The sequence below is a fragment of the Homo sapiens genome, chromosome 6 (assembly GCF_000001405.40).
Source record: "Homo sapiens chromosome 6, GRCh38.p14 Primary Assembly".
NCBI classification, from domain to species: Eukaryota; Metazoa; Chordata; class Mammalia; order Primates; family Hominidae; genus Homo; species Homo sapiens.
The window spans coordinates 70,843,110-70,856,143 of NC_000006.12; the positions used below are offsets into that span (position 1 = coordinate 70,843,110).

A 13,034-nucleotide genomic window follows, 5' to 3' on the forward strand; every position below is an offset into this window, starting at 1 on the left:
AGCAGCTCTTTAGGGTAGAGAGTATTTTACACACCCACACACACTCCCCCCCCCCTTTTTAAAATTAACTAATAATAAAACTAACAACTAATAAGCTAACAAAAATTAATTTCCAAGGCACTGCTGCTGTACTGTATAGAATTGGGACTCAAACCTAGATGTGTTTAATGCCAAAGTCTAATTTCAGCTCTTAAGATGAACCAAAGCAAGGCATCTAACCCAAGTATTAAATTATCTTATTATTTTAATAATCAGATACTGCTAACTAGATGCCAGGGGCTGTCTTGTGTGCTGACAGATATTTATTTATTGAATTTTTGCAACAGCCCTGAGATTGGTGAACTATCATTATTTCGCTTTTATAGAAGAGAAAACTGAGGCACAGAGAGGTTAAGTGAGTTGCACAAGGTCACACAGCTGGTAGATTACAAAACTGGGATTTAGACTGAGTAGTCTGACTTCGGGGCTCAGATTCTTAACACTATGTTGAGCTGTGATAGAAAATAAAACTCTAACAGGTGAGATTGTGCTATACACGAAATAGACATTGGACCCATTCATCAAATCAATAGATGGCAGTATTAAGTCATGGGGGTGGGACACTTGGTTTAGAGGTAGTACCTGGGTTTTGTCTGCCCTCTAGCAGCTTCGTCTGGGAAATGGAAATAGGAACTCTTCTGTAGCTGAGGGCCAGAATAAATGGTGTGCTTTATGTGAAGCACCTAGCACAGTAACTTGCACACAGTCCTGTGCTGAGACTATAACCTGAACACCAGGTCATGGGAGATCACCAAGAGGTAGTACAGGCCTTTGAAGGAATGTGTGGAGAAGGGACTCAAAAATTATGCTGAGTAACACACAGTAGGACTCCTGCTGGGTTATTCCTTTAATAGCCACTACCATTAGAGAGAAAGAGGGAGATAGAGGGAAACAGTGATTGCAAAGCATGGTCTGTGGCCTCTGATGGATTTGCAGTTGACTAAAAGAACTGAGGAAATTGGGTGGCCTCAGGAATCTAGTTTATCACCATTTTAAACATTTAGAAAGAAATTTGGTTATACAATCTGGTTTCATATTTATATATTTCTTATTTTTTGAGGCCATAAAATGGTGCAGTGATTTGATATATATTTATTTTTTAAACAATCAGTTCTACAAAGCTTCCTCCTTATACCACTTCTCAGCTATTTCAGATAGCTCTAAATCAGAGTGCGTGTGTGTGTGTACACATGTGTGCATGTGTGTGTGGTGTCTTCTGAAAGACAGTAGCACCATGGGGCTCTTCCCCTTACAGAGCATCATAGTGCCTGTGCATAAGAGAATCCCCTGATCAAAAGTTGGCTGGTTTGTAGAAATGTGTAGTAGATTTCCCTGCTGGCACAGTAGACTGGCATTTGGTAGTGGCTTGAAAAGGGAGGGCCAAATACAGTAAGAGGATTAGGATTATCTTTTAAGACCATGTTAGTCATTTTAGCAAATTAGCCTAAATACTATTTAACTGTATAAAAAATTAACTGAAAAATAAAAATAAATAGCTCCAGTTAGCTCTCAGGCACACTTAAACAAATTGAAAACAACTTAAAGCTTGAAAAGTTTAATATGCTTCAAATGGACATTTGTGACTTGAATTTACTAAAATAAGACATGTGAGTTGATGTTACAAATCAAGTCTTGTGTTTTAATATAAAGGAATTCCAAGTAATAATAAAAATTAAGGAGAAAACTTTAAATGGCTTATTGAGTAGAAAATAAAAAGGGTTCTTTGATCAACGTGAAAATTTAGAAAGCTTTAAGGAGTTTTGCCATTAAGGAGAGAATCACTTCATATCATGGACGCAGCCTTCTTTAAACAGTGCTGTTTCCACTTTAATTTCATCACTGGTTATGATGACGCTTCACTAGTTATGGAAGAAGAATTAGATTTGGGAGTTTTCATTGTAGCAAGGGTGTACTACAGGTAGAAGGTTCATGCTCAGTCAAAAATGGTAATGAAAAACAGCCATTTGCCACATTCTTATCTGCCTTAAACTAGATTAGTAATACATAAAATCTCATGTTGCTCTTTGACATTTTTTCTTATTTGTGCAAATAGATTATGATCAGCTAATGCCTCTGACATTCAAGTAAAGGATGAATTCAATTAATATTTATTGAGCACCAGCAGAGTTCATGGAACACTGGTAAACACCAGAAGATGCAGCTCTGTGTGTTTATAGTAGTGCAAGAGGGGGATGGGGCTGCTGTCCAGAAACTGGAAGACAGAATTATCATTGAGGGAAAAGATGGGATTATCTAAGAGAACTGGTTGTGAGGATTCAGTTTGAAATCTGGATTAATGCTAAAATTCCAATTTAAATTCTATTTTCCTTAATTCAGAGGTTGATTTTTTCTTGCTGCAGCTAGAGGAGAATAAAATAAGTTTATTTTGTACTATGCAAACTTATTTCAAGTAAAATCTAATGTTTTACGGACATCACCTTTAGAGTGAATAACAGTTGGAAAAGATAAGCAAATGCCCAGATAAATGCAGCTTTTAGAGCTGTACCTTTGTAGAGGATCTTATGATTTAAAACCCATCTGTATCTTATCATAGGGCACACAAGTGCTATGTTAGGACAGTTGGAACAGATGAGCAAGAGGGTAAGATATGGCTCCGACCAGTGAGGTAGCAGGTAGAATAGTCCTGGGAGGTGCCGTGACAACAGTGATGCACTGAGGTTTGGACAGAGGGGCGCTGGAGACACATTTATGATTGAGAGAAAGAATTCCAGCCTCACTGTACTTGTTCAACTGGAAAGGGGAAGCCCTGGTGTAGGGATTCTAGTTAAGAAGCAGTTGTAATCTCATAGGCAGATAGTTGTGTGGAAGCTGTGTCTATGAAAACAGAGGAAGAGGAGCCAGTCCAGGATATTGGTAGCAATGGCTGTGGAGTCTTCAAGGAGAATGTGGCTGTAAACTCTAAGAGAGGCGATTTTACAGGAGAAGGATCAGCTAGGGCTAAATGTGCTGGTGGTAAGTAGGAAGAGGACTGAAAAGGATTTGTAGCCAGGAGATTGCTTGTACTTTTCAAAAATAGTGTCATTATTTCACTTTTCTCCCACAAAAGTAGGATCACCTGAACTACTATTTGTTTTCCGCCATGGCTCTGCTGTCACCAAGAAATCCTCCCATAACCTGTGTTTGGAAAGCATTTCAATTAATCATGTATTGAGTATGTGCCTTAATCCACGCATTGAATTAAGGAGGCAGCTGCACTCTTCCTGGTGACGAAGCAGGTGGGACTGGTCATGGCTCGGGGCTATAAAAGTGGTGCCAGCGAGGAGTAAAGAGGCTTCTGGAGTACTGGGGCATGCCTGTTCAGCCTAAGAACATTCCGATGCCATAAAAACTAAAAATGAAAAGGATAAGATGCTTGGGAAGGCTTCTACTTTGCAGCCCCTGGATTAGCGGAACATTTGGAGGTGGAGTTGGTAGGCCTGACTGACCCGCTGTGGGTGGTATGGCCTGCAGTGGAGGTGGTGCTGGGTGTTGTGGGCTCAGGAGTCATCCTGTGCCTCAGAAAGGAGCTTGTGCCAAGTACTATGCCTGGGCTGGGTAGTGAAGCCAGCCCCTGCCCTCAGGGCACTATTTTAGGGAGGTAGGTCAATGGTCATGTAAATCATTGTAACTCTGGGTAGGGAATGGGCACCTGTTTCTGCCTGAGAACACCAGGAAACATTTCTCAAACTGGTTATAGCAGTTGAGTTTTCCGGGTGCACCATTGAGACCCGTGTTGAAGTCCTAGGCTTACTGTGCAGATTCCCTCCAGGTGAGGTAAGGATTAAACTGAGATACTTTATTGATCAGAGTATCTGGCACATAGTACTTAAATAAATATTAGTGGTTAAACTTGTATTAAAATATGAAGTGTTGTATTCTTATTTCCTTTTAGTTTTAGTTTATAAATTTAAAGGCACTTGGAATGCACCAAGGGGAAGACAATATTGTTAAAAATACTTTATTTACCTCATACTCATTTGGATTATTGGCGTCAGATGAATTCTGGTATAGTTACAGTTAATAGAGTCATTTGGCTCACTTCCCAAATTGAGGATTTTTAGGTGACAAGAGACTGGCCCTCATGACTTTGTCATATTTGAAATGTTACCTCTTTCTAACATCTCTCAGTGTCATGATGTGAAGTGGGCCAGTGAATGCATGCTGGGAATGCCTTCTGTTCTTGGAAGTTGTAGCACTGATTTTAACAATTTTTTTCTGCAGCTGAAAACATTTTAACCTTTTCCTGTCGGTTTCTCATATGTGGGTAGTTAAAAACATTCATCTATCAATTCAGTTCCCAAATAAGACACTAGCCTAACATCTTAAGGTAATGAAGAAAGAAAATACTTACCACAAGCTACTTAACTGTAGGTTTGATGTCTTGCCTTTAAGATGGAAATCCCATCTTCATTTTACTGCATTGTCCTAATTTCTTCTGTTTGCTCATTGCCTTTTCAAGGGGTCCTTTGTGCTTCATTATCATTCTTTATGATGTTCCCAGCTGAATTTCCTCCATTTGCCCTAGGCTTTTCTTGTACTCTGGATCTCCCATTATTTTTATTGTCCACCAGCTGTTTCTGCATACTAATTAAAGGGGGACTGCTGCCTCCTGCTGCTCCCACCATCATTCCGTAGCTGAGCAAGGTGCATGTCTACGGTGAATTCTGATTAGTTTTCACAGACATCCCCTAATCTCATAGAAGGCACTGTGTGGTCTGATGTTCTCTCTCCCCTGAAAGAGGAAGTGTGTGTGTGTGTGTTTGTGTGACTACATGTGTGTGCATGCACCAACAAGGTATAACCCATGCTGATTTAAATGTTTTTCTCACATTATGGTGATTTACACTATTTAATTTGAATAAGCTTTATGCTTTCTAAATGTTAAAGTTATTTATCTGAATAACTGTTTTCAGCATCTTGGTATTTTCTTGATTTTGTGGCCTCTGAGCTTTTATTAATCAGCAAAGACCATGTTATTAGTGGGCCCATGATCAAAAGGATGCATTTAACTCCCAATAATTTGTGAATATTCTTAGTTGACCAAGGCCTGATTATATCCCACAGTTGCTTCCAGGAGCCCAGTTTGCTCACTGATGACCATATCCACCTGAATCCCTCCCTAAAAACTGAAAAGATACTGGTGTCAGTACAGGATAGTGGAGTGGGGACATGATGAGGAAAATTTTGAGTGTGGCACCAAATGATTTTTAGACTGTTTAAGTAACTGCTTCTCAAACTTAGTACAAATAATTATAAACTATTTTAAAGTTGTTTTTTAATTTTCAGAACTTTAAGTGATTTGTTTATAATTAGGCGCAGTTGAAATTACATGGCTTTTGATGAAATGTGGTTTAAAGAGCTCTAGTCTAGATGTGAGAAGACTCTGTTCTGGTACAAATTTTGCTGCTTAAAAAGGTGAAGGACATTGAGGAAGTCTTTTCATTGCTCTGTGTCCTAGTTGGTATAACTGGAGATAATGGAGGAGATGCCCTTCTCATCTTGCATCGGGACAAAAATGATAACATGTAAACATTCTTTAAAAACATCCAGGATGAATGTGATGTTTATAATGATGGTAATGATAACGAGTCTTTAATTGTCTTTTTTAAACACTGAAAATTAAAAACACAATGACCTTCAAAATGAATTGAAGCAATCCCTTTTAAATAATGTGTTAAGCAAGCCAAATGTTGTAAGTAAAATTAGCAACTATTGAAAACCCACTGGGAACTTGTGTTTACCAATTTTGCAAGGCTGAGAAGTTTTCATTTAGGTTAAGAATTTGTTTTTTCAACAATTCTGTGAATGCATAGCTTTGATAGTAACTAGAAAAATTGATGGCTGTGAAATCCAGAACCCACCGTTAAGGGATCAATCACATGGGGAGAAGATGGAGTAGAGACAAAAGAGGGGCAGGTATGTTGCAGATGGTGAGAGCAGAGAGCAATCACCTATGCTCATCACAAGGATGCTCTGTAGAGAAAAATCTTGGTGAGGCCTGGCAGAAAGTTCCTTACCTCAGGTTTTTGGGGGGGTATGAAAAAGTCTTCCTTAATCAATTGAAAACAGTGTCAGCCTTGCCACAAAGATTGCTGTCCCTAAGCAGGTGCTTCCTCTGTCTCATTCTAAAAAGGATTCTGAAGTCCCTCAGACTTACTTTGTGAATTGACTTCATGACAGCTCCATTAACCATGGTGGCTGGTTACAGAGAGATCACAACTTTGTTGTTTGTGTGAAATGCCAGAAATTTCAAGAGGCTAATTTTAATATAGTAATAATAATAAAAAAAACACATGGAAAGAGAATATGGACTTGTTTATAGTGCAGTGGTAAAAACAGAATTCAAGTTATGTTGCAGTGAAGGGACATGAGCTGTGTAGACTTTATTTAGAGGAATGTTCTGCTTTTATGGTGAAAATCTGGAAACTACCTAAATTCTCTTGAGTCACACATTGAATAAATAAATTATTATAGGCACATGCAGTATCACAGAATGCAAATCCCCTACCTACACATACATAATTTTATATAAAGAAGACTATTTTTGTATGATCCTATATACATTGTTTTTAAACTTGTGGTAAAACACACATAAAATTTACCATTTTAAATATTTTACAATGTATAATCAGTGACATTAAGTACACTCACATTGCACAACTGTCACCACCATCTATGGTGGGTACTTTTAGTTTCTTCATTTTTGCATGGTTTGAATCTTTTACAAGAATGTGTTGCTTTTACAGTAAACATTGAATAAGATTACAATCTAAGACTTTGCTCCTGCTCTGTGACACTGGACAAGTTATTAGTCACATATGTGATACTAAAGGGGGTTAAAGGTAAAATAAGACTTCAGAAACCAAGTAATATGCTGTGTGTTGTTTTACGGATTAGAAAATGTATTGCTAGATACCAAATGTGGTTTAGATTTGAAAGTATAAGTAAATATTCTGAGAGGAGTCTAAGGTACTAAGTAGAACAGACTTAAAATTTCGGAAAGCTGTACAGTTTATAAAAGTAATAAGACATAGCATTGGTTTTTAGTGGATGCGCTTTGTGATTCTCACTAAATGCATCCTGGGCACACTGGTGTTCTGTGAACTAGACTGACATGTGCTGTGGTAAAAAGCAATTGATAGTATTTTCTCAGTTTGCCAAAAAATCAACGGGATTTTCTCATGTTAAATTTTTTTTTCCATAAATTTGTCTGATTTTGTTAACTACTACTTAATAAAGTAAAAACAACTATAACGGAAAAACTGGAAATAGTTGCTTATATTCAGCTTGTCACCGTTTTTTTTCCTTTTATTTTGGTTGCAGTTTACATTGTTTTAGAGGACATGTGCTTCTATTTGAGTTTAAATTTTATAAACATTTAAAATTTGTACATATATAAGTATATATACATTTTATATATATAATTATATTTGCAGCTAATAAAGTGCTTCCTCAATTCATGTGATAGAATGAAACATGTCTAATTGATGACGATGTTTGCCCATCTCTAACTCTGTAGCTCATGAGTTAAATCACCACTGGCTTATATGTCATTATTATTGGACTTCCTTTACTGAAGTGTAGATACAAACAAAAAAGATATTCCTTAGTTGTGTTTTTAAACCTAGAATGCCTTGTCCCTTTAAAATATCACTTTATTTCTGGCTGATATTTATAATGTACTATACATCATGTAAATGGGGTATGGAATGAACTGGAAAACAAAGTAGCGCTTTAAGGAGGTCTAACTTTAAAGTGAATATTGCCATTTGAAAGGGTTAGAAATGAAAAAAAGTATTTTCATGTATGAGTCTTAATTCTTTGATAGTTGTCTCAGTTTAAAATTCTATATATTGTAAATTATAATCTATGTACATTGTTTTATTTCTTCACCTTTTAATTGTCCATAGTACTTGATATAGATATGTATAATACATATCAATATATTTCTTTTAATGGTTGTGATAATGTGATATCACTGAAAATGACTTGAAAAATTTGCAGTTGAATAACTTTCAGATTAACCTAATTTGGGCTTTACACACTCTTTTGTAAATTAAATAGCAAAAAATATTTTATCGTGACTATGTGTTAATAATTCTTTGTAATTGAAGCTTAAACAGGGAAATAAAAGATACCAATTTCTCTAGTTGTACTTGGAAAAAGACAAGAACTCTCTAAGTTTCTGTGGATTGTGGTGGAAATATGAATGAGATGGTAGATCCTCCATTGAATTTGTCAGTATTTGAGTATCTACTTTGTGCAAGATACCCCATTCATTGTTGAAAAGGTTTTCAAAGATGACAGATTTCCCTTTGATGAGAGTATGGTCTACCAAAGAGATATCAAATGAGACTGTAAATTGTTAAGATAGAAGGTTAATTAGGCTATAACTCTCAAGAGGCTGGAGTTGTGATGCTCTGAACTGTTAACTTGGTTGTGGTTACAGAAAACTGAACCTTGTGAGATGTTCCAGTCCTGGAGTGCTGTGCATGCAAACTCGACCTATAGCACTCCACTTCATCTCCTGCCCCCAGCCCTTATAAATGTTCACTAACATAAAAAGGGGATATAAAATAAACCGGTTTTGAATTCTTGAAATTACAGTTTTAAAAACTGTTTTTTAATTTGAATTTTTAAGTAGGAAGCTCTGTCAGAGTCCCTTTCCCTGTACATTGCAGTGGCTTGGTACAGCCATCACTAAAAGTGGCTGTGCTGGAATAAATAAAGGACTTATTTTGGAGTTTTATGGATGCTTCCTGTAGAATCAGTTTAAGTATTGTATGTGTGTTTTGTTTTTTCTATCTAGTTTTCTTCCATGTTGTGACTTCAAAACATAACATTTCAGATGTTTTAGATCATCAAAACTTATTTCCATGGTAGGTAAAAATGATATTATCTCCAAAACACACACACCCTCACACATACATTTATGGAGAGGGATTATTAATAAGTGTGGTATCAAATTCCACCTTAGCCCCTTATCTCAAAAGTAGTTTTTACCTCATAAGGTTATGAGGATTAAATGAGTTGATACATGTGAAGTACCCAGAACAGTGCCTGGCATATAGGAAGCACCATAAAAATCTATGATCTTATTAAAAAAAATTAGGGTGCAAAATAATGTGAATAGTATGATACCATTGGTTAAAAAGGAGGTTTGGATATATACCTAGAAACCAGTGGATAAAGAATATTTCTGGGGGAATCAACAAAACTGGAAATGGTTTCTTTGGGAAAGGGGATCGGGGGTAGGTAGAAGGAGAACAAATGTTTTACCAACTTTTGAACTGTTCTTTTTTTTTAACCATATATCAATTTTTAAAATAATGCCATGTTTCAAGTAATTTAAGATATTCTACGTTAAGACGAGAATCTATATTCTTTTCAGATGGCCCTGCTGTGGCACCAGTGACCAACGGGAACACAACGGTGCCACCCCTGAACGATGATCTGGACATCTTTGGACCGATGATTTCTAATCCCTTACCTGCAACTGTCATGCCCCCAGCTCAGGTATGTGATAAGAATATGGTTTTATATGGTCACTGCTTATTTCCTTTTTGAAAAGTTTCAAAATTTCAATTTTGGAAGAATTGTTTCTGAGCAGTAACTGATTTAAAAGTCTCCTGTTCTTTAGGCTAGAGTTTAGCAAACTAAGCCAGCAGCTTGTTTTTGCAAATAAAGTTTTATTGGCACACAGCCACTCCCACTGGTTTAGGTACTGTATGTGGCTGCTTTCCTGCTACAAAAGCAGAGTTAAATATTAAAAACAGAGAATGTATAGCCCACAAAACCTAAAATATTCACTGTCTTTAAAGTTCTAACCCTTGCTTTAGGGAAACAACAGTATTTAGAATGAACAAGTGGAAAAACCCTGACTACCTCAACTTTCCTGAGATCAACAAGGTCACTTACTTCAGAGCTTTTAAAACTGTGGCTGTTTGTAAATATTGACTGCAGAAGTTCTAGCAAATTTAGTACTGTCTTTTTAAAATAAAGGCAAAATGAAGGTAAATTATGTTTTAAGTTAGCCTTAAAATCTACCTTGCTTTTTTTTTTAAGTGATTTTTTAAAAATCTAGAACAGTAATAATAATGATCGGGATATTTTAATAAAAGTATTAATGGTGAAGAAATTTTGAATTGCCTTCTTAACATTACATGGAATTTTTGTAATGTGAACTGTATGAACTTTCAGGAAACAAACTACTCTTAAGCATACAACATTAAGATTCTATCTTAAGTTTATACTTTACAAATAAACAAGCAGTTTGTGCAGCATAATTTTTGAGATAAAATATTTCCTTTTCCATAGAAAAACTGAGTCAAATCTGAATTGTTCTGGTAGACAGTTTTAATAAGAAAAAGTCAATGTCTTATAAGGCTAGGAACATATTTCTGTTGCACATATTTATTGTTATTATGATAGTCATTATATAGTTACCATTAGAATGGAACAAGTAGATTTCTTAGGAATGATTAAATGGATCTTTATCAAAATTGTCTGCAGCAGTAGTGTTTATTTTCAGCAAAATAGCTTATTTTATGGCTTTGCCCCTTCTTCCCCTCCTGTAACACACATAAAAAAGAGAATATTGTTACTGTTATTTCAATTAAGATTAATTACCTTACAAATTGGTACAGGCATAGGTGTACATGTGACAAAATTGTCTAATATTGTGTCTTTGGAAAGAAGCATTTAGGATATTTGACAACCAGAATGTGAAAAGCCATTTATTTTTAGTCTAGCATTGTAGTGCGGCTGTTATACCTGCTAGACTTATTTAGCACTGTCACTGGGGTCTGACAGTTGCTTTGCAACTGCTTAAGAGAGTTAGATCCCACCTCTGAGGTTTCAGTGTACTTCACGTGTTCTGTTCTGTATTAAAGCAGCAAGTAGAACAATGCAGACTTCGTTTAATTCTTAAGCACAAGTAGTGCCATGACAAGGAGTGTAGCCTCTGGCTTTAAGAGGGGTGGCAGCTGGCCTTCAGACTTTAGGCATTCTGAGCATTACCTGGTAGGACATAGGGTTAATTTTTAAAATCATATCTAATACTTCTTTTGGAACACTGTTATGTTGAGCACTGGTTAGACTGTACAAGTTATGTTGAGCCCTGTAAAATATTTGGTGAACAGTAGTATCTTTCGTCTAAACTTCATGTAGAGATTAAAATCCAGACATATTTGGCCAGGTATGGTGGTTCATGCCTGTAATCCCAGCACTTTGGGAGGCTGAGGTGGGTGGATCACCTGAGGCCAGGAGTTCAACACCAGCCTGGCCAACATGGTGAAACCCCATCTCTCCTTAAAATACAAAAATTAGCTGGGCGTGGTGGCGTGCGCCTGTAATCCCAGTTACTCGGGAGGCTGAGGCAGGAGAATTGCTTGAACCCGGGAGGCAGAGGTTGCAGTGAGCGGAGATCACGCCATTGCACTCCAGCCTGGGGGACAAGAGTGAGACTTCGTCTGGAAAAAAAAAAAAATCCAGACATATTTTCAAAATAATGCCTTTGAAAATGGGGGATGGTGCTGAAACTACAGATTCTATGCATATATTGCTACCATGTAATTTAGTCATTTTGGTGGGTTTTTAATATGTGAAGTTGAGCTCAAACTAGTTGTGGACACCAAGATTTTGAATTCTTCTGAACCCTGTATTCTTTCACTCCTTGTGTTATTTTCTGAGTATATACAAATTCTAGTACAATATTTTCTAACTTATGAATATGAAATAGATTGATTTTACCATCTGCCTTACCTGTCTGGGGTCTAGTCTTTCTTAAAGGGGTTAGTTAGAAATACTTAGCTGACAGGAGTGTACCTGTGTTTTGGGGGCTGGAGAGGAACAGTTCCAGAGTCTTCATTGTTGACATGGAGAAACCCCTTTCCTGTTCTTTCATATACATATACATATACATATACATATACATATACATATACATATACATATACATATACCAACAGTACCTAGACATACACAAGGGCTAAGTCCTGTTTTTTCTTGGTTAAGCCCTTGGGTCCCAGAAGGCCAGAGAGCCTTCGATTAGATGCTCTGCAGCTTCCTGAAGTGTAAAATGAGAGGCAGAAGTTGTTTCCCTTTTATCCTGGGGTCGTAGTGCTGGCGAGTGGAGCACCAGAAAGTAAGTGGACATTTGAGTGCTTACTAGTCCTGCTGATTGGTTTGGCTGTTTTTAGACTGTGTCCTTGTTGAGGTAGATATTTCATATTATGATGTTTACAGTATGTGAATATTAGGCTGCTCTACTATGAGAGTGGAATCATAGCTTCCCAACATTTTGGGTTTTCTTATAGTTGTCTCTTATCCACAGGGAATAGACCCCAGGGTTTTCAGCAGACTTTTAGGTTGAACAGATACTAAGTGTGATAAAAAGATCACTTAGTGATGTAGTTGCTTTGTTTTATAAACAATATTAACAATAAACACCAAGTACTTAATCCAACCATTGTGCAGAACACTTTTGTGATCATTAAGCTTATCCCAAGTTTATAGGAGAGAGACTGAAAGGAGAAGTAAAGTAACATGTCTGAGTGTACCACAGAAAGTCATGGGGGCAGGCTCTAGTCCTGGCAGACAGGCTCCAGCCCATGCTCTTAGCTCTATGATCTGCTGCTGCTTCATTGGTAGCTTAGATATATTTTATTCAGGGGTATTGTGATATTTAGTATTCCATGATATCTAATTTCTTACATATTTGAATTTTTGGAAAATTAAGCGGCTTTTTGTCGCTTACAATTCTTGCTTAGTCATAAGATTCAAAATACTGTGTAGTTTATAAGTACAATGTTTGGATGGTAACTTATTGCATGGTGTTCTAGGAGGACATTAAATGTTTGAATTTAATTTCCACTTGCAACTCACCTTATTCTGTAGTTTGAGAAGGATCAGCCAGCTTTTACTAGTCTTCATAGAATTCTTTGAAACTCTCTTCATATTCAAAACAAGTCCATATAACATGTGAATGTGATTTA

The 13,034-nt window shown here is 36.8% G+C and overlaps 1 protein-coding gene across 8 annotated transcripts in view; it reads left to right on the forward strand.

Moving 5' to 3' along the window:
• The window catches only part of SMAP1 (small ArfGAP 1), a 194,133-nt gene that overhangs the window by 175,227 nt on the left and 5,872 nt on the right, over positions 1-13,034 (forward strand). For all 8 annotated transcript variants that reach the window (NM_001044305.3, NM_001281439.2, NM_021940.5 and 5 more), the window contains one exon: positions 9,431-9,555. In NM_001044305.3, coding sequence (NP_001037770.1) covers positions 9,431-9,555 — 125 coding nt within the window. The remainder of the gene's footprint in view (positions 1-9,430; positions 9,556-13,034) is intronic.